A 21671-nucleotide genomic window follows, 5' to 3' on the forward strand; every position below is an offset into this window, starting at 1 on the left:
GAACTCCTGGGCTTAAGTGATCCTCCTGCCTTGATCTAACAAATTGCTGAGATTTGGGCATGAGCCGCTGCACCTGGACTGAATTTTCAACCGTGGGTTAGGACTATAGGGTTTTTGTGATTTTCTGACTTGGCGATGGTAGTTCTCTGGTCAGGCTTAACAGATAACTGAATGGTGTCTATATCAAGGGTTTTGTTCTGAAATGAAAAGGCCTTCGGGCTAGGGGGCTTGCTGCTGTCATCATTAGGAGTAGCTGGCGTGGTTAGTTTTGGGGAGTGTGATGAAGTGACGGTGACTGTTGGAAATATCTGTAGGATGCTGCTGGAAAAATGCTGGAAAAGCAGAACAAAACAGAACACCAAAAACAAAAGCCCTGGGCATCTGGTAAACATGTTTTCAAAAATACAAGCTATAGAAATGTGTTCTATGTCATAGCGAAGCATCTTTCAGGTGCCTCTTTTTTTTTTTTTTTGCGATGGAGTCTTGCTCTGTCACCAGGCTAGAATGCAGTAGTGCAATCTTGGCTCACTGCAACCTCTGCCTCCCGGGTTCAAGCGATTCTTCTGCCTCAGCCTCCCAAGTAGCTGGGATTGCAGGTGCACACCACCATGCCCAGCTAATTTTTGTATTTTTAGTAGAGACGAGGTTTCACCATGTTGGCCAGGATGGTCTCAATCTCCTGACCTTGTGATCCACCTGCCTTGGCCTCCCAAAGTGCTGGGATTATAGGCATGAGCCACCGCGCCCAGGCAGAGAGTGGGTGATTTTAATGTGACAAGTTATGTTTGCAGAGCAGACAGTCATGGCTTGTTCCCTCTGCATTTCCACCCTTCCTTGTGTTACCAAGAGTCCTGCCAATTGAACCTCTTGTCCCCATACAGTCTGTTCTGTCGTGCCCTACCTGGGCCGTGGGGTTTATCTCCTAGGAAACCCCCATAGGGGTTTGACCAGCTCCTGCTTCCTGGGCAACAGTGTGCCCAGCCCTAGAACTTGACAGTGGGGTCGGCTGTCTGCACCCAGTGACAGCCACCCTCATGGTGGCCCAACTGAGAAGCTCACTCTTCCCTCTCCCAACCTGCTGTGGCCCCGCTCCTGCCACCTCTTTCAAGGACCAGCCTCCTTACAAAGTCTTTCCCAGTCCTGCCCCTTGAAGAAACTCTCCTTCCTCCACACCTCTATTATGGGTTGTGCATCCCCCACAAAGATGAGCCATTCTGAAGTCCTAACTCTCAGGACCTCAAAATGTGACCTTATTTGGAAACAGGATCCTTGCAGATGTAATAGTTAAAGTTAGGTCACATTGGAGCAGGGTGGGCCGCTGACCCAATGTGACTGTGTTCTTATAAAAAGGAGACCGGTGAAGACCTAGGATTGGAGTGACACAGCCACAAGCCAAGGAACTCCAAAGATTGCTGCAGCCACCAGAAGCCAGGAAGAGGCAAGCAAGGACTTCCTAAGGTTTCAGAGGGAGCACGGCCCTGCACCACGCTGATGTCAGACTTCTGGCCTCTGGAACTATGAGATAGCCCATTTCTGTTGTTTGGAGCCACCCAGGTTGTCTTTGTTACAGCAGCCCTGAGGAACTAACCCAACCTCCATCCAGGAATGGATTGTATTTCCTGCTGCCAATGCTGGAGCAGGGTGGCTTCGTGGCCATGCAGCCCCTCAGAGGCACAGGGCCCTGCACTTGGGGTTTAGTGCTCTGTGATTGCTGTCTTGACATTCTTAATTATTTTATCAGGCTGGGCACGGTGGCTCATGCCTCTAATCCCAGCACTTTAGGAGGCCGAGGGGGGCGGATCACTTGAGGTCAGGAGTTTGAGACCAGCCTGGCCAGCATGGAGAAACCCCATCTCTACTAAAAATACAAAAAATTAGCCAGGTGTGGTGGTGGACACCTGTAGCCCCAGCTGTTTGGGAGGCTGAGGCAGGAGAATCACTTGAACCTGGAAGGTGGAAGTTGCAGTGAGCCAAGATTGCGCCACTGCACTCTAGCCTGGGTGACAGAGTGAGACTCTTGTCTCCAAAACAAAACAAAACAAAACAAAACAAAAAAAACTTTATTTTATCTTTGAATTTGTGTGGTGTAAGTGAGGCCTCATTGGACAGTGGAGCATACGTGAGCACTTGGAGCCTGCCTCATGTGTGCTCCCATCTGCTGCTGGTCCGCCACCTCTCCCAGGCACATTATTGACTGCTCGTCTCCCTCCCTTTGGTGTCCTGGGCCCCACATGGCCTCCCCATCCCCACCCTCACCCAGCAACCGCTGGTGCCCTCCATGGTCTGCGGGAACCTGAGTGTGTATGTGTGGAGGGGTGTGGGGTTGACATCAGATGCTTTTACTACACTACCCGTGGCATCTCAGGGTGGGCGTGGCCATGCAAGCAGCTGGTGGACTGTGTACCCACCAAGTCACTCGGCAGGGCCCCTGGGCAAGTGTGACAGTTGACACTCACCCTGTCCCAAGAAAGCATGATATTCAGTAGCAAATAAAAACACCATGATAGGTCAAAAGAGAGACCATGGAAGAAAGGGAAAAGCTTTCGTTTATTTTAGTTCCTTTGCTGGCCCATTCTTTTCCTGCTTTTTGAACAAGGGGCTCTGCATTTTTATTTTGCACTGGGCCTTTCAAATTTTGTGGCTGGCCCTGGTTGGGAGCTGCAAAGTGATGCTCCAACTTAGAAACGAGACACGGGATCCATCAGCTATGATACAAGATGAATTCCTGGTGGATTGGAACTCGGGCAAGCAGCCTCATGAAGAAACAAGGTATGCATGATGCTATTAGCAGGCAAGGGCCCTGGTCAGCTGAGACGGTCCTGCTTCCTCTGGATAGGGTATCCTGGCCACTGGAATATTTAAAACTAGGAAATTCAGAAAGTTATATTTGCACACTGGGATGTCTAATTTGTTTGTTATGCTGATCAGTGCAAAAAATCTTTTCCATAATTGTATTTGAATATTCATAAGTGTTGCTAGAAGAAAAAGTCAATTTCATGTCAAACCACCAAGGATCACATTTTCTTCACATGCTGCTCTTTTGCCAGGGAGAAGTGATTCAATGTATGTTGACAAAAAGCAGGACTGAGAAGAGCAGAACTGGTCCAAGAACTTATGAAATACCCACATTCAGGGAGACTTTCTCTAAGGAGAAACATCCCTCTTCAGAAGTCTGGGGAGCTTGCATACTGAGTAGAAAGGCAGAGCCGTACCTCCCTGGAGAGTCTCTGAAGACCTCATCTGCCCAGCCATCCAGCGTGAGCTCTGGAAACCTTCTGCCTTTTAGTCTATGTCAAGACTAGAAGCCAAGCAAGGTGTCACAGCCCTTCATAACTGTTAATGAGAAATAGAACTGAACACTATCCAAGGCAAAAAGACAGACTCTGTTGAGCACTACTGCAAAAGGAAAGCGCCGAGCACAATTCCCAACACAAGGACAAGTGGGGATTTACAGCCCAGGAACAGGGTGGAGGTGGGGGGTTGGCAGATGGAAAACAGAGGGGACCTTGACGGTAGGGGGGTATCTTGCTAAACTAACTTAACAGGACACCTGCTGCAGGCAGGCCAGGATGATTGGATACTAAAGGCAGAAGAGGACTTAACAGGATTCTTTGCTAAGACTGGCTCAGGCAGGCTGAGCACGGGGTCCAAGGATGAGGCCTAGCTGAAAAAAGTGCCGGAGGAGTCTGTCTGAAGTTGGTCAAGCAGTGAGTTATTATCGTGCTCTCGGGAGGAAATGCAGAAAGGACTACCCTTAAATCAGGGGCAGCGGGGAGGGGAGAGGGGCTCAGGGAGGGAGGGCAGGCCTGAGGGTGCCTTCACTGGGGTCTCTCCGGCCAGCATCTGGAGTGGGACTCACTGCCCAGTTTCCCTGTGGTTGTCCAAGGCAAGTAAAGCTGCTTACAGATGCCCACACTCATGTCACCTTTAGATGCCCTGGAAGGAAGTTTGGTATGAAAGTGGCTTTGCATATCCCAGCTAGGAAAGTAGGGGCCACCTAATCCTGTTTCCAGGACTGCATTTGTGAGTGTTCCTGTGTGTGTTGTGCAGAGAGAAACATGAAGGAGAACTTGGCTCCAGCAGCGGTGGGAGAATGCAGGGCTTCATGCTGCATCCTGTGGCACCTGCAGCCCACTCCCTCCCCAGGGAGAGGTCAGGGGGACAGCATTTGGAGGCAAATGACACAAGCTTTCTGCAATAGGAAGGGGTTTGGGAAAGTCCATTTGAAGACTGGCTGCCCCGGAAGAGTCAGCAATGACCCTTGAGAATGCCCTTTACTGAGTGAGCCAGGCTGAGCTGTTCTGGAGTCTCTGGTGCACGCATCTGACGAAGACCCCTCTTCCTTGCTGTCTACACACAGCCGCTCAGAGCAGGCAGTCCAAGGAGAATCTGGGATGGGGGTGGCTGACTCTGTTCCCCCATGATCACACCTCCCTGGAGGGCTTACTCGCTTCACCCAGGTCCCTGATGTAAACTAAATATAAAATCCTAACCCTCTACTCATTGAACAGACCCCCTGTTGGCCAAGAGGATCCCAGAAAAAAGTTAAAAACGAAATTCCTGGCCACAATGGGAAGGGAGGTTGGACTCATGCCTTGTTACATGCCCTCCCTTTTGGAGTTTAGGCAGAACTGACCAGCATAAATGTTAAAATACAGATCATAAGACTAACAAAACAGACTCTTTGTGACAATAAGGTAGCAAATGATAAATAGGACCTAAGTCCATGTCAGGCAAGGATTAAGTCACACACCCCATGGGTCACTCTGACCCAGTGGTTTGGTTAACAGACTTCCTTAACTGAAAACATTCCTTTCTGCTGATTCAAAATTTTTAGACAAAGTTTTACTCTTTTAACCAATTGCAAATTGAAGACTCTGGAGTGACCTATGACCAGGAAGCCCCCACTTTAACATATTCTGCCTTTCTGGGCCAAATCAATGTCTAATCTTCATGTATTGATTTATGACTTTTTCATAACTTCTGCTTCCCTGAAATGTGTAAAACAGAGTTGCGATCTAACTGCCCTGAGACCACTGACTCAAGGCTTTTTCAGTTTATGTCTTTCCCTGGGCTGTTGTCACTCATACTAGCTCAGAATAAACCTCTTTCAAATAGTTTACAGAGTTTGGTTTTTCCATTAACACTGAGTGGGCTGCTCTCCCCAGCAATGGAAATGCAGTGCCCCTTGTTCAACAAGCAGGAAAGGAAAGTGCCAGCAAAGGCACTAATATGCAAAAGCTTTTCTCTTTCTAGCATGGTCTTTTATTTGCCATTGAATGTCATACTTTCTTGGGCACAGGGTGAATGTCAACTTTCACCCTTGTCTGGGGGCCCTGCAGGCCACCAGCTATTCCTATGCCGTACCTACCCTGAGACCTTGTGGGGCAAAGGCATCGGACGTCAGTCTTCCCCCCACCACCTGGGCCCCCAGTGACCACAGAGGACACTAGCGGTTCCTGGGTGGAGGTGGAGATGGGGAGTCCAGGTGTGGCCCAGGACACCAAAAGGAGGAGAGGATTGAGCAGTCAAGAACCTATCTTGGGCTGGGCACAGTGGCTCACTCTTGTAATCCCAGCACTTTGAGAGGCCAAGGCAGGCGGATTACCTGAGGTCAGGAGTTCAAGTCCAGCCTGGCCAACATGGTGAAACCGTGTCTACTAAAAATACAAAAATTAGTTGGGCGTGGTGGCAGGTGTCTGTAATCCCACCTACTCGGGACGCTGAGGCAGGGAGAATTGCTTGAAGCCAGGAAGCGGAGGTTGCAGTGAGCTGAGATCACAGCACTGCACTCTAGCCTGGGTGACAGAGTGGGACTCAGTCTCAAAATAATAATAATAAGAAGAAGAACCTGTCTTGGGGAGGTAGGGAGGCAGTGGCAGGTGGGAGCACACATGAGCTAGGGTCCAAACACTCACATATGTGCCACTGTCCAAGACCTCTCATATACCACACAAATTCAAAGATAAATTAAGAATTTTGGCTGGGTGCGGTGGCTCACGCCTGTAATCCCAGCACTTTGGGAGGCTGAGGCGGGCGGATCACGAGGTCAGGAGTTAGGGACCAGCTTGGTCAATATGGTGAAACCCCGTCTCTACTAAAAATAAAAAAATTAGCCAGGCGTGGTGGCGTGCACCTGTAGTCCCAGCTACACGGGAGGCTGAGGCAGAAGAATCACTTGAACCTGGGAGGTGGAGGTTGCAGTGAGCTGAGATCACGCCATTGCACTCCAGCCTGGGCCACAGAGCGAGACTCCATCCAAAAAAAAAAAAAAAATCACCAGGCTGGGCAACAGAGGGAGACCCCATCTCTAAAAAATAATAATAATAATAATAAAAACAATTAGCCTTGCATAGTGGCATGTGGCTATAGTCCTAGCTACTCAGGAGGCTGAGGCGGGAGGATCCCTGGAGCCCAGGAGTTGGAAGCTGCAGTGAGCTATGATCCCACTACTGCACTCCAGCCTGGGTAAGAGAGTGAGATTCAGTTTCTAAACAAAAAACAAAACAACAAAGACTGCAACCGCAGAACACTGAGCCCCAAGTGAGTGCAGGGCCCTGTGCCTCTGAGGGTCTGCATGCCTAGGAAGCCGCCCTGCCCCCGACATCGGCAGCAGGAAGTGCGATCCATTCCTGGATGGAGGTTGGGTGAGTTCCCCAGGGCAGGCAGTATTAATGCGAATGACCGTTAATTTTCTCGGGAGGGTGGCACCGTCAACTAATTAGGAATGCTGTCTACTTTGGCTCATTGTGTGTTCAAGGATAAGATGACAAAACAAAATAGTCTGGATGATTTTGAGAGCTTAGCTGCATTTCATTCCTCTTACCTCTGAGTTTTAACGTAAGTCAGGGGCCTCCTCATGCAAGATTTATACTGCTCACAGTTCCTCTCAATTTTTTCCTCCGATTTGTCTATCCATTTTCCCCAGAGGACAGTGAATCGGGGCTCTTGACAGCCTGCTTCACCTAAGAGCGCCAATCAATCCTCCCGCAGGGTTTCCACTGAGCTTTGGCTGCTAAGTACATTTACGCAACCGAGCCGACGGGCTGTGCCTGCAGGCAACGGCGTCCGCCAATTTCCGTTCATTTAACGGCGAGACTGGGGGAGCCCGGGCCGGCAGGCGGGTCCTCAGGAAGCGCAAATTTCACCTTCCCTGACTCCTCTCACCGCTAGATTAAAACTGCGCCCCTCGGTGGCTCAAGCCTGTAATTCCAGCACTTTGGGAGGCAGAGGTGGGTAGATCACCTGAAGTCAGGAGTTTGAGACCAGCCTGGCTAACATGATGAAACCCCGTCTCTACTAAAAATACAAAAATTAGCTGGGCGTGGTGGCACGCGCCAGTAATCCCAGCTACTCAGGAGGCTGAGGCGGGAGAATTGCTTGAACCCGGGAGGCGGAGGTTGCAGTGAGCCGAGATCACGCCATTGCACTCCAGCCTGGGCAACAAGAGCGAGACTCCATCTCAACCAACCAACCAAACCAAACCAAAATAAAACAAAACAAAAACCTGCGCCCCTCCTCATGGCTCTTCTTTTGGCATAGCACCTGCAAAATATCTTCCTTATTTATTGTTTGTGCCCGTTAGAACATAAGCTCCAGGCAGGCACAGGAGCAGGACTCAGGGGTCGGTGAACGTGACGGGAGTCCAAAGTCAGTGGGGGATCCATCTTGTCTTAGGAGAGCAAAGACCTTCTCTCTGTCCTCCCCAGTTCCATAGCTGGCTCTATGAAATTAACTGCCAACGGGCAGATGAACGGGGGGAACGGGAATACACATTTATTAATCTTTAATATCACCTGCATGGGGGCATTGCAGGAAACTAGGTGAAAACCCCCCAAACCAGTGAGCTTTGAGAGCTTCTAAAATTGGGGAACTGGAAGCTGGTGTAGGCCACTTAGGGGAGAGTAACTGATTTTTAGGAAAGATGCATAAGTCTTTATGAGTTTGTGACAAAGTTTGTCTAGGTGTGGTGTGGACTTCTGCTGTGATAAGAGTCCATCCTCCCGGGAGGGAATTTACGACAATCAGTTTCTTTTGGAGGTTCCGTCTTTAGACAGGTAAGGGGAGAACGTCTCTCTGCATTTGCTATTTTTCAAGTGCCTCTCGCTCAAAATAATCAATATACCAAAGCGGCATATTTTAGGATGGCATATTTTGGTTTCATTCACTGTCTTTAAGTTTTTGATATTTTGTTCATTATAAACTTTTTTTGCATTCATTTTGACTTTTTAAGATATTGTATTAAAACATTATTTACCTTGACTACTGAGTTTTTTTGTCGCGCCCTTAAATTTTGCCCCTATGCGAGTGCCTCGCTCGCTTGCCTCCTTCTAGCCCGGGTCTGGCAGGGAGTTGAAATTATTTTTCTCACTGCTGAATTCCCAGGGCCTACAACAGTGCTCGCCAAAAAATTAATACTCTTGGTTCTTCAAATAAAACATTCTGTAAGGACTGCTCCCAATTTCTTCCTGAACTTCACGAACCCTCCCAGCCAGGCCACAGGATGTCAGGGGCAAACACCCTGAACCAACGGAGCTCAGGTTCCCTACCACCCCGCCCAAGCCCGCTCCAAGCCCAATTACCCTTCCCCTTCCTCGTCGTCCCATCCTCCCTGATGCCTCTTCCAGGGTGCTGGGCCGCGCGGCAAGAGCTCCAAGGCAAGATTCAAATGCCCTGGGGAGACGGCTGCGGGACACCTGCGGCGGGGCCCGGCAGGGAGCGCGAGACTGGAAGAGAGGCCAGGAGGGAAGGAGAGCGACGCGGGGTTTTGGGGGAGGGGCTGCGTGGGGCGCTGAAGGGGAGCGCGAGGAGTGGGAGGAAGTGAAGGAGGAGGAAGAGCACGGTGTGGGGGAAGCGCAGGAGGCAATAGGTGGGGCGGGACGGAGGGCAGGGCGCTGCGTCGGGAGAAAGTGTAGAAGCGCTGGGGAGAGTGCCCACGACGGGAGAGCCCAGGGGCGCGAGGGCGCGGGAGTGTGGGCGGGGCGCAGTGGGGATGGGGGCGGGGGCGCGGGATGTGGTAGGGGGCGTAGTGGGGAGAGAGTGCAGGAGTGTGGGCAGGGCGCAGTGTGGGGAGGGTGCGGGAGTGTGAGCGGGGCGCAGTGGAGGGAGTGCAGGATGTGGGCTGGACAACCAGTGGGAGAGGGCGCGGGAGGTGGGCGGGGCGCAGTCGGGATGGGGGCGGGGGCGCGGGATGTCGGCGGGCCGCAGTGAGGGGGAGGGCGCGGGAGTGTGGGCGGGGCGCAGTGGGGGAGGGAGCGGGAGTGTGCGCGGGGCGCAGTGAGGGGAAACTGTGGAATGTGGGCGAGGCGCAGTTGGAGAAGAGTGCGGGGATGTGGGCGGGGCGCAGTGAGGGGAAACTGTGGAATGTGGGCGAGGCGCAGTTGGAGGAGAGTGCGGGGATGTGGGCGGGGTGCGGTGGGGGAGGGTGCGGAGATGTGGGCGGGGCGCAGTGGGTGGAGAGTGTAGGGATGTGGGCCCAGCGCAGTGGGGGACAGTGTGGGGATGCGGGCGAGGCGCAGTGGGGGCGGGGGCGGGGATGTGGGCGGGGCGCAGTGGGTGGAGAGTGCGGGATGTGGGCGGGGCGCAGTGGGTGGAGAGTGCGGAATGTGGGCGGGGCGCAGTTGGGGAGCTTGCGGGGAATGTGGGCGGGGCGCAGTGGTGGGAGGGCGCAGGAGTGTGGGCGGGGCGCAGTTGGGGGAGGGTGCAGAGACCTGAGGGCTTGAGGTTGCCTGGCTGGCCCCGCTCCCAGAGGCGGGTGCCGCGCTGTCGCCCAGGTATCTGGGGTCTCTGGTGTCTGAGTGTCTCATTGTCGGCGCGAACACAATTGCTCCAGCCACAGGCGAGGCCTGGCCAAGGTGTGGGCGCATCTGGGGCAGGTCTTGAGAGGTCCAGCGCCCGGTGGTGCGGACAGAGGCGGGGCACCGCGGCGCTCGCCGCCGCCTCCCCGCAGGTGATCATCCTCCTGCAGGTGTCCTCGGGTCTCAGGTGGCTGCGTGTCTGCGCCATGGTTGACATTCTGGGCGAGCGGCACCTGGTGACCTGTAAGGGCGCGACGGTGGAGGCCGAGGCGGCGCTGCAGAACAAGGTGGTGGCACTGTACTTCGCGGCGGCCCGGTGCGCGCCGAGCCGCGACTTCACGCCGCTGCTCTGCGACTTCTATACGGCGCTGGTGGCCGAGGCGCGGCGGCCCGCGCCCTTCGAAGTGGTCTTCGTGTCAGCCGACGGCAGCTCCCAGGAGATGCTGGACTTCATGCGCGAGCTGCATGGCGCCTGGCTGGCGCTGCCCTTCCACGACCCCTACCGGCAGTGAGTGGGGGTCCTGGGGGGGCGGGGGCCGCCCGGCACGTCTCCCCCATGTTCCCCCAGGCCTCCCCCTCTGCACTGGGGAGCTCTTTATGACGCCCCCCCCCAACACCTCCCCGTCTCTCGGTTCACGTCCGGACTCCGGTAAATCACACTCAGTCTCAGTTTCAACCTCTCTTGGAGACCAGGGAGGGTGCAGACCAGATTCGAAAACCCAGGGCATCGGCACCCCAAGGGGGCTCGTGGAGCATGGACGCGGGCGCGTTTCTGCCTGGGGTCTGGAGCTCCGGGAATCTGCATTGCGAAGGAGCTCCCAGTGGTGGTGATGCTGTGAGTTCGCGGGCTCGGCTCCGGGAACCGCCGGCCCAATCAGCCCTGGACTCCCGGCGCCGCTGCGTCATCCTCCCAGTTAGTGGGCAGGAAGCACAGGGACATGACCCGGTGTCTGGATGCGGGGATGAGGGATGACCCGCGAGGACATCAGCTCTGTGACAGGCACCCACAGTGCAGGCCGTGGTTGGTTTGCTGGGAGGGAGGGACGGGGGCTTCAAGGCTGGCAGGAACCCAGGTGCTGGCCACCTTTGCGGTTTCATTTTTACCGACACTGATGGAATTTCATCACTAGAGAAGCATAAAACTCATTACTATAAACTTTATTACTCTAACTGTTGCAAAGGAGGGGGTAGGGATTGGCAGAGAGGGGATTACAGGGATTGATTGTTCTGCTTTTGGGGTGGGTCTCCTGTGGTCTCCTATGGTGTAAGAGTCCAGACTTAGGTTTAAAGCAGGCCTCGTCAAGTATGTTGTCCTGGCCACCCCCTTCTAGGTACCAATGTGAATTTCTGGGTTTTGCTTTACAGCCTCACATTTCTGGAGATTATCATTAAGTTGTGGCATTACCCCCTAAACTGATTATCATGAGATGACATTCCTTCTGGAAAATGAAAACTGGAAGCTAACTTTGGAAAGTTTTGTAGATGAGTAATTAATGGGAAGAAATCTAATTATTCCCCCAAACATGATTTTTGGTGATTCCCAGTGAAAGAGGAGGCCCAGGCAGGGCACCGCCCAGCCTTCCAGGGGGGTAACCTGCTTCTGGGAGCCTCACTCACACCGGGACTCTGAAAGTTCTATTGATAATGAATCTCCAAGATGGGTGGTTCACTTTGCAAAAGGATTTCTTACAGAATCAGTTCAAGTGGTGCTTTTAAAAACAGGATTGGACTTGTTTAGTACTCAAGTTATTTGTAAGCTTTTGAAAGAACGCAGGTTTGAAAGCGAGAGACGATGGCAGTATCATTATAGTAATTAGGCACAAAGCTCTGGCCCAGCTCTGGGATTTACTTGCCAGGTGATGGCAGGCAAGGTATTTTATTGCTGAGCATATGATACATCACGTGGTTGTTGTCAGGGTTGAGCTGATCACATATGAGCTCATGTGTCCGCTGGTTATGTCCCAGCTCTCTAGTCTATTGCCCCATTTTACAGATGTGCCATTGAGGCATAGAGTTCAGTTCTCCTGGCTCTGAGGACCCTCTTTCTGCCGTGCCCTACTTCCTCACTGAGGGGGTGGTGAGTCTTGGTCCCCAGCGGCACACAGATTGGACTGGGGAGGTCATCGCTTGGGGCCATGGAGACTGCTCGTCTGTTTCTGATGCTCTGGTCAAGCCTGTGAGCTCCAGCTGGAGGCAGTGAGCTGCGTGACGTGGGTCAGCTGTGTGCTCCTATCTTCTCAGCCTGGCTGGCCTGGGAGGGATTTTTCTTTTTGTAAACTTAGCTGTTTGTCCCTACCCCTTTCCACACTGAACTTCCTTAACTCTGTTGTTGTCATGTGTAAGCTAGGTAGTGGGATATTCTGTGGGAATTGTTGGAGCTACGCCCTAAATTCTGCTTATCCTACGTCTACAGGACCTTGGTGTTCCCATCTGATTGGCTCTTGGTTCAAAGACCAATCCGGTTTAGCCATGCCTTGCTCCAACTCTCCGGGGGTTTCCTGAGTTTCCATTGCCCACAGGACAGAGCCAGACATGGTTCAGTGCCTGGCATCCCCAGGGAGTGTGTTTGGTGAGTAGTTGAAGCAAGTGAGCAAAAGACAGTTCTGCAGAGAGATTTGCTTGGCCACAGCCTGCTCCTGGCTGAGATGACAGACTAGAGTCAGGAGTTGCCATGGCAACCCAGAAGTGTGGTTTATGCCAGCAACAAGGATGTGGCTGTGTTAGTTGAAGGCAGGGACCAACGCTGGTTGCAACAGTGCTGAGGACAAGGAGGAACTGGGCTCTTGGATTTTCCCCAAATGCTTAAAGTCCTAAGTTATTACCATGACAACATTCTCTCCTCCAAAAGCAAGTTCTTTTCTCTGTGGACACAGCTCAGGGCCCAGAGGGGATTGAGATGACATTAGGGAAAAAGTGAGGTTCTTTGCCTCTCATGTGCAGCTCCAAGGTTACATTTGTCCCCAGGCAGAGGCTGCCAGCATGGGGATTTGAGGGCTGGTACTGAGTGTCTCTTGGAATATCAGTGAAATGACCACCTCCACCCTCCTGATTCCTCAAAGCCCAGCCTGCTCTGCATCCCCCTGACTGTGTTAGAGCTTGATTTAATGTTGCAAGTGATTAAAACAGCAGCAATGAGAACAACTCAAAGAGCTTGAACAGTAAAGGTTATGGGCTGGCTTTAATGAGACACCCATCAGCCAGAAGATGGTGTCAAGGGCAAGCTGGAGGCCACGGAGGATGCAGCTTTGTGGCTCGCCTTCTGCCACGTCTGCCCCTTGCTCAGGCTGCAGGCAGTTGCTGCCTGGCAAATCCTGTGTCTCCTCACGGTGGCAGAATGGCTGCTGTGTCTCAGACTGCGCATTCCTGTACTTTCCTCTTTCCCAGCACACAGCCAGGTGCTGCACCACGCCTCATTGATTCTGATTTGGCTAGTTCCCCATTTCTGTACTATTAAGTGTAGCCAGGGGCCACCAGATAGATATGCTGACTGAGCAGTTGGCCCAGGTGGAATTGGAGGTGGGTCTTTCCCACACAGTAAGAACAGCTAGCATTTATCAAGTACTTATTATGTGCCAAGCCTCATTCTTCATTAAGCTGTTTATTTAATCCTCACAACAACTCCAGGAGGTGGATTCTGTTATTCCCGTGGTGTAGATGAGGAATCCGAGGTGCAGGAGGTTAACTAGCCTGCCCATGACACACAGCTAGTTCATGCCAGAAAATGAAGGAGACATGGTTTCCCAAGGAGGGTCACAGATGCTGAGCAGCAAACCACAGGCCTGTACTCCCCGTGCTGTCAGGGGCACCATGCCCAGCCTCCTCTCCGCTTGCTGTCTCCTACCTCCTCCCAGTTGGTGCAGGGGATGCAGAAAGCCCTGGAAGACTGCTGTGGGATTGGCCAACTTGAGCAAGCATAAACCACCAGATCTTGGGCACTGCCCCAGCGTCAGAGGTGGGGAGATTGCATTTCTGATGAGTTTCCAGGTGATGTTGGTGTTGCTGCTCCTGGGACCCCATATTGTTCCTGACAGTGCTGGTCAAAGGCTGGTGCATGGACCCATGTCAGTTGGGAATCTGTCAGGAGTGCAGATGCTGTCGGACCTGGGGGTGCTCAGGAATCTGTAGGTGAGATACTGCTGCTGCTGCTGCTGGCATCCCAACCCCTTCACGACCCACCAGCAGCCCTCCAAGGAGTCCTCATGGCCTTGGGGAAGAGGTTCCAGGTTCCTGAGATAACAGAGTCCCACCTGGTCTGGCCCCAGCCGGACCGTCTACTTTCCTTTCTGGAAGTGACGTGTGCGAGCCCTGCCCTGTCCCACTGCCCAAAGTACAGATGCTAAAATAACCCATTTGCCAAAACTGCTGGATAAAGAGCTTAAATCAGGCTGCTGGCCATTTTGCTGCAGTCTTTATGCAAAGAGTTACTTGGTTGTTTCTCGTTTCTTCACCTTTTTCTTTCTTTCTTTTTTATTTTCTGAGATGGAGTTTCGCTCTTGTTGCCCAGGCTAGAGTGCAATGGCGCAGGCTCAGCTCACTGCAACCTCTGCCTCCTGGGTTCAAGTGATTCTCCTGCCTCAGCCTCCCAAGTAGCTGGGATTACAGACACCCACCACCACACCCGGCTAATTTTCGTATTTTTAGTAGACACAGGGTTTCGCCATGTGAACAGGTCTCGAACTCCTGACCTCAGGTGATGCACCCATCTTGGCCTCCCAAATTGCTAGGATTACAGGCGTGAGCCACCGCACCTGGCCACACATTTTTGTTTTATGCCTTTGGGGAAAGCTAATTGCTTAGGCATTTTAAATTTTAGGTGTTGTGCGGCCGGGCGTGGTGGCTCACGCCTGTAATCCCAGCACTTTGGGAGGCCGAGGCGGGTGGATCACAAAGTCAGGAGATCGAAACCATCCTGGCTAACACGGTGAAACCCTGTCTCTACTAAAAATACAAAAAATTAGCCAGGCATGGTGGCGGGCGCCTGTGGTCCCCGCTACTCTGGAGGCTGAGGCAGGAGAATGGCGTGAACCTGGGAGGCGGAGGTTGCAGTGAGCCGAGATTGTACCACTGCACTCCAGTCTGGGCGAAAGAGCGAGACTCCATCTTAAAAAAAAAAAAAAAATAGGTGTTGTGCAGGATTCTTAAGATGCTAGAGAGGGACATCTCTGCCACATCTTTCATGCTGACTGCTGTGGTTCATTGACCTGTCCAGGCTCCATCTGGCCGAGTTCCACACGCGCCTCCCCTGTTGTGAGCACTCATGGCTGTTCGTGAAGGAGTTGGTGTCCCCTAAACCTGCAGTTTGACATGAATTCACATCTGCTCTGTGTTTGAGACATGACTTTCTCAGTTCTGCAAATACAGTTTTGGCTGAGTGGTCTCTGCTGTGTCTTTTTTTCACTGTGCATGATAGGTTTTAGAGAATAGTTTACATTTTTATTTTTTCCCACTTTTCCTTTCCCTCCCCAGGTGAGTCATTGGACACCACAGGGAGCAGGTCCGGACTGCCGGGGTGGGGGCTGTGTCCATTGGTTCTTTGGGGAATAGGCCTGTCCTGGCAGGGGTCATGCAGCCCCAGAAAGGCCACAGCCCTCCCAACAGTGTCCCCTCAAGGAGGTTCAGTCCACACTGGGCCTGTGTAATGACCAGGTTGGCCTCATTTTTGATATTCTTGTGCCTTCTCTCTTTTTCCTTGCTCAATCTCAGTAGATTTTTTTTTTTTTTTTTTTTTTTTTTTGGAGCTAGGGTCTTGCACCATCATCCAGGCTGGAGTGCAGTGGTGTGGTCACAGCTCCCTGCAACCTTGAACTCCTGGGTTCAAGCGATCCTCATGCCTCAGCCTCCCAAGTAGCTGAGCCTACAGGTGTGCACAGCCACACCTGGTTATTTTTTTTTATTTTGTGGAGATAGGGTCTTGTCATGTCACCCACCAGTGTCCCCTCAAGGAGGTTCAGTCCACACTGGGCCTGTGTAATGACCAGGCTGGCCTGATTTTTGATATTCTTCTGCATTCTCTCTTTTTCCTTGCTCAATCTCAGTAGACATTTTTTTTAGAGCTAGGGTCTTGCACCGTCATCCAGGCTGGAGTGCAGTGGTGTGATCACAGCTCCCTGCAACCTCAAACTCCTGGGTTCAAGCAATCCTCCTGCCTCAGCCTCCCAAGTAGCTGGGACTACAGGTGCGTGCAACCACACCTGGTTAATTTTTTTTTATTTTGTGGAGACAGGGTCTTGTCATGTCACCCAGGGATGTCTTGAACTCTTGGGCTCAAGTGATCCTCTCACCTTGACCTCCCAAAGTGCTGGGATTACAGGCGTGAGCCACTGTGCCCAGGCTCGGTAGAGATTTGTTTCACATTTTAGTGTTTCCTGAGAACCAGGTTGGGTTTTATTGGTCACCCCATGTTGGTTTTTGTTGGTTCATTTCCTATGTCAGTAATTTTTGTTCTCAATCTTATTCTGCCTTCTTTCTACTTTCTTTGTGTTTGTGCCATCCTTATTTTTCTAGCTTCTTGAATTAGATCCATAAGTCATCTATATACTAAAGTTTTGGATAAGCGTTTTTAAGGCTACAGCTTCCTAAGTGTGTTTAATTGTGTTTACAGCTTGGGATTTGTAGTATATTCCATATTGTTTTGTTTTAAATACTTTGTCATCTGCGTTACTATTTCCCATATAACATACAGTTAGTTTTAAAACTCATTCTTAAAAATGATTTCTTTTTGGCTGAGCACAGTGGCTCATGCCTGTAATCCCAGCACTTTGGGAGGCCGAGGTAGGCGGATCACGAGGTCAGGAGATCGAGACCATCCTGGCTAACATGGTGAAACCCCGTCTCTACTAAAAAAATACAAAAAAATTAGCCAGGCATGGTGGTGGGCGCCTGTAGTCCCAGCTACTCGGGAGGCTGAGGCAGGAGAATGGCATGAACCCAGGAGGCGGAGCTTGCAGTAAGCCGAGATTGCGTCACTGCACTCCAGCCTGGGCGACAGAGCAAGACTCCATCTCAAAAAACAAAAAAACAAAAAACAAAAAACAAACGAACGAACAAAAAAATATATATTTTTTTATTTTTATTTTTTGAGACAGAGTCTCACTCTGTCACCCAGGCTGGAGTGCAGTGGCGCGATCTCGGCTCACTGCAACTTCCGCCTGCTGGATTCAAGCAATTCTCTGGCCTCAGCCTCCCAAGTAGCTGGGACCACAAATGCGTGCCACCATGCCCGGCTAATTTTTTGTATTTTTAGCAGAGACAGGGTTTCACCGTGCTGGCCAGGCTGGTCTCAAACTCCTGACTTCATGATCTGCCCACCTCAGCCTCCCAAAGTGCTGGGATTACAGGCATGTGCCACCCGCACCCGGCCCCAAAAATGGTTTCTTATTGGTTTCCAATTCCATTACCATTGGTCTGATTAAGTGATCTATATGTTATTGACCACTTGAAATTCATTAATACTTCCTTTGTGACTTGAGAACATGATTGATTTTGTCACTGCTTCATAGATGTTTGGAAATAAACCATATTCTCTCTCTGTTGAGCGTAGGGGACCCTGTATTTTTTCCTGCTTGAGTGATGGTGTGTCTTTGACCTGGATGCCAGAAAGTGGCAGGAAGAACTTGAGGGACGTGTCAAAGGGGAGATTTGCTAATAGGAGGGTCTCAAATGGGTTTTTCCTTCCACTCGGGTTCACAATCCTGAGGGTGACAGATCAAGGAAATCCGATTACTGTCACTGTGAGGCCCTGGTGACCTGGCCATGGTAAACAGGAAAGGGATTTCACCCGGCTGCCCTGTCTTGAGGGAGTAATCCCAGTGAAGATTACGAGAACTGCAAAACCAAGAAGGCAGATGCTCGTTTCCCTAAATGAATACAAATAATTTTGTAAAAAGACCACTCATCAGGTTATAGATACTGTAAATGTAAATGATGTAAAATGAGGCTAAGAAACCTCTCATCATGATAATGGCAATTGGTGCATCACTGAATTTGTAGGGTGGAAAGTCAAGTGAAGCTCTAGATGTATTTAGAACTCATGGAATTTTAACTTTTTTTTTTTTTTTCCTTAGAAATGGGGTCTGCCGCCCAGGCTGGAATGTAGAGGCACTAACACGGCTCACTGCAGCCTCGACCTCCTGGGCTCAAGCGATCCTCCCACCTCAGCCTGTCGAGTAGCTGGGACTATAGGTGCATGCTACCACGCCTAGCTAATTTTTTAACTTTTGTAGAGACAAGGTCTCACTATGTTGCCCAGGCTGGTCTTGAACTCTTGGACTTAAGCCATCTTCCCACCTCAGTCTCCTGAAGTGCTGGGATTACAGGTGTCAGCAACCACACCTGGCTGGAATTTTAACTTTTACCATTATATGTACCTGATATTTTTCAACCCCTTGAGATGTAGAGGACATAAAAAATTACTGGGTTTATTTGTGGGTTTAGACCTGCACTATCCAATCTGGTAGCCACTAGCCACTTGTGACAACTTAAATTTAAATTAAAAGTTAATTAAAATGAAAACTTCAGTTCCTTAGGCACACTAGCCACATTCTGAGCTCTCCCAGCCATACGTGGCTGGTGGCTACTGGATTGGGTAGCACAGATACGGAGAGTTCACTGCTGCAGGCAGCTCTCTGGTGTGGAATTGGGTTAGAAATGGTAGCACCAAGGCTGGGCGTGGTGGCTAACGCCTGTAATCCCAGCATTTTGGGAGGCCAAGGCGGGCAGATCACTTGAGGCCCGGAGGTCGAGGCCAGTCTGGCCAACATGGTGAAACCCCATCTCTACTAAAAATACAAAAAATTAGCTGGATGTGGTGGCACATACCTGTAATCCCAGCTACTTGGGAGGCTGAGGCAGGAGAATCGCTTGAACGTGGGAGGTGGAGGTTGCAGTGAGCCGAGATCGCGCCATTGCACTCTAGCCTGGGCGACAAGAACAAAACTCCATCTCAAAAAAGAAAAAGAAAAAGAAAAAGAAATAGTAGCACCAAGAAGAAAGGAGCCCCCACCCCAGCAGGAGGGAGAGCAGGAGCAGGCTGGGTGGGGCACCTGGTGGCTTCCTCCAAGTTGGCTGTACCTCAGGCTGGAGGGAGGGGGCGTGTCCCTTCAGATGTGCATGTGGGAGTGCTAACTTCGGTACCACTCTTCTGTCCTGCAGTGAGCTGAGGAAGAGGTACAACGTCACAGCCATCCCCAAGCTTGTGATTGTGAAACAAAATGGGGAGGTCATCACCAACAAAGGGCGGAAGCAGATCCGGGAACGGGGGTTGGCCTGCTTCCAGGACTGGGTGGAGGCGGCCGATATCTTCCAGAATTTCTCCGTTTGAAGTGGGAGGGACCTCAGAGGGCCAGGACAGGTGCTGCTTCTCCAGCACCGACGCTGGGGCAAAGAGGAGCATGTTGGGTTCCTTCCTCTGTTGGTGTGATTTCATTGTATTTCAGAGCAGAAGCACTAAGCTGTGGTCAAAAAGCAACTATTGCTCAGGAAATAATACACTCCATATTTTGATCATGCAGGCTGTTTGTATTATAGTTATTTTTGTTATTCTTTGCATACCTTTATCCACCTGTGCTTAAGGAAGGATCCTCATATGTTCATACTGAGCTGTTGGAAATCTATGCAAGACATTTATTTGTACAAGTCTCTTCAGGTAAAATAATATATTTATTGATAACATTTTCTGGCGATCTGTTTATTTTAATGGTATGCTTTCACAACTATCTTAATAAAGTTTGCAAGCTGTGTACTTTAATAAACAAGTCTATTGCCTTCTTTCTCATTCCATTCCAGGTGCCAGTAGGAAGAAAAGGAGTCTCTTGACAAATACCATGCTTAAATATGTCTTATTTGTCACAGGTGCTAGTTTTTAATTATATGTCATCTTGGAATTTTCTTCTTCTCTTTGTTTTCTTTACACTTATTTGTAACAGTATTACAATATCCTAGAAAGCAATGAAATTTTCAAGGGTGTGTTTTCACATCTTCAAGATCAAACCTCAGTGTTACCTAAAAGTTAATAATCCATCGAAGTAAACAATCTTTATTAATGGTGGTGAAAGCCGTCAGTGGTTCAGATTACTGTCCCAGCTTCCCCTGTGGCCTCTTGCTGGCGGTCTTTCCTGTTTCTTTCCAGCCTCATTCTTATCCAATCAGCTGGGATTGTGAAAATACCGATACCCATCTCTAGCCAAGTCCTCACCTGCAGATCTGGTCAGCTTGCTGGGTTCCTCAGCTGAGAATTTGGAGCAAAGCTGACACCAGTAGGACCAGCAATAGTAGAGTAAGGAAGCCCAGTGGGTGATACTCAGTGAACCTGTGCCACTGAGACATAAGCTGTTAATTAATTAGTCCCTTCAATCTCCCTCACCCTCTGCGCTGTCAGTTAACTTCCCTGACCACTGAGACCCAGCCTCCTGGGGGCCCTGTGGGTTGACTAAGGATGCATTTACACTAACCTCATTGTTATTCGTGCCCCAAATAAGTCATGTAGAAATGCAGTTTTCTTCCAAAACTCAGAGATGAAATATTTATTTAATTATGGCTTTTTCTTTTCTTTTTTTTTGAGATGGAGTTTCACTCTTGTTGCCCAGCCTGGAGTGCAATGGCGCGGTCTCAGCTCACTGCAACCTCCGCCTCCTGGGTTCAAGTGATTCTCTTGTCTCAGCCTCCCGAGTAGCTGGGATTACAGGCGCCCGCCACCACGCCCAGCGAATTTTTGTATTTTTAGTAGAGACAGGGTTTCATCATATTGGTCAGGCTGGTCTCGAACTCCTTACCTCAGGTGATCCACCCGCCTCGGCCTCCCAAAGTGCTGGGATTACAGGCATGAGCCACCGTGCCCGGCCTAATTATGATATTTTTAATCACACATTCTTGGGAACTGGGTGGACATCTCTTGCATGTAGAGTATCCATAAACTGAGTGTTCGTGTGTGTGTGTGTGTGTGTGTGTGTGTGAGAACCACAACCACACACTTTTAAAAGGTAGAGAAACGGCCCTCCTGGTAAACGTGCTTGTAACTGCCAAGAACTGTGTTGGTGTTTGTGGGCTGGAAGATTTTGCTTTGGGGTGACTAGAGGGAGAGGCAGGGTCCACCTCGGCTGGGCTGGCCCTGTAGGACATGGGCCTTCGTCACCTAGGGCTGGGAGAGTGATGTGTCCTTTGAACCATTATTACTCCCTGAAGACACATTCTTTTTTTTTTTTTTTTTTTTTCTGAGACAGAGTCTCTGTCTCCCATGCTGGAGTGCAGCGGCACCATCTTGGCTCACTGCAATCTCTGCCTCCTGGGTTCAAGCGATTCTGTTGCCTCAGCCTCCCGAGTAGCTGGGATTAGAGGCGCCTGCCACCAAGCCCGGCTAATTTTGTATTTTTAGTTGAAATGGGGTTTCTTCATGTTGGCCAGGCTGGTCTCGAACTCCTGACCTCAAGTGATCCACCCGCTTCGGCCTCCCAGAGTGCTGTGATTACAGTCATGAGCCACCACGCTTGGCCGACACATACTTTAATATTATAACATCCCAAACAATTTTTCTTGACGTAAGGCAAAGTATTCCAGCCTTCTTTCCGAGAACTGTGTAATTTGTGACTATTTCTACAAGTGCCTTGTGCCCCTTGTGTTCCAGAAGCAATACGTGCTCACTGTGGACGAACATCAGGAAAAAGATTCCATCATCCTGAGGGAAAGCCATGATGGATGTTTTAGTCCATCTATATGTCCCCTAAAGTCACCACCTTTTTATTTTTTCCGTGTGTACACATTGCTTTTCATCTTTATACACTTGCCACCCTGCGTGTGGACATAGACAAGCAGTGGCAGTGTGATGTGGGCACCATGGGGCAGGGGTTGAAAGACATGCAGCATCGTGACCCAGCCCAGGCC

At 50.7% G+C, this 21671-nt stretch overlaps 1 protein-coding gene and 1 long non-coding RNA gene across 5 annotated transcripts in view, besides 2 other annotated features; one reads left to right on the forward strand and one right to left on the reverse strand.

The window, feature by feature from the left end:
• Nucleotides 1-2528: 2528 nt before the first annotated feature.
• LOC105376134 (uncharacterized) lies at nt 2529-9109 on the reverse strand. The gene is made up of 2 exons (XR_007061653.1): nt 8583-9109; nt 2529-3333 (listed from the first exon to the last, which is right to left on the reverse strand). It is a non-coding gene; the product is annotated as an uncharacterized LOC105376134 (long non-coding RNA).
• Nucleotides 9533-10367: an enhancer, noted in NCBI's record as "H3K27ac-H3K4me1 hESC enhancer chr9:91149879-91150713 (GRCh37/hg19 assembly coordinates)". NCBI's record gives its function as "activates a minimal SCP1, AML or CMV promoter by ChIP-STARR-seq in primed H9 embryonic stem cells {active_cell/tissue: H9 hESC(primed)}" and the evidence as "EXISTENCE:reporter gene assay evidence [ECO:0000049][PMID:30033119]".
• The window catches only part of NXNL2 (nucleoredoxin like 2), a 49333-nt gene continuing 37408 nt past the window's right edge, over nt 9747-21671 (forward strand). For 3 of the 4 annotated variants that reach the window (XM_011518276.3, XM_005251727.4, NM_145283.3), the window contains exon 1: nt 9747-10305. In XM_011518276.3, coding sequence (XP_011516578.1) covers nt 10004-10305 — 302 coding nt within the window. In that variant the 5' untranslated portion in view covers nt 9747-10003. Of the gene's footprint in view, nt 10306-18947; nt 19543-21671 lie in introns of those variants that run through there. The other variant, NM_001161625.2, reaches the window with a different exon arrangement.
• Nucleotides 10368-11201: an enhancer, noted in NCBI's record as "H3K27ac-H3K4me1 hESC enhancer chr9:91150714-91151547 (GRCh37/hg19 assembly coordinates)". NCBI's record gives its function as "activates a minimal SCP1, AML or CMV promoter by ChIP-STARR-seq in primed H9 embryonic stem cells {active_cell/tissue: H9 hESC(primed)}" and the evidence as "EXISTENCE:reporter gene assay evidence [ECO:0000049][PMID:30033119]".

Source organism: Homo sapiens, chromosome 9 (assembly GCF_000001405.40).
Source record: "Homo sapiens chromosome 9, GRCh38.p14 Primary Assembly".
NCBI lineage: Eukaryota > Metazoa > Chordata > Mammalia > Primates > Hominidae > Homo > Homo sapiens.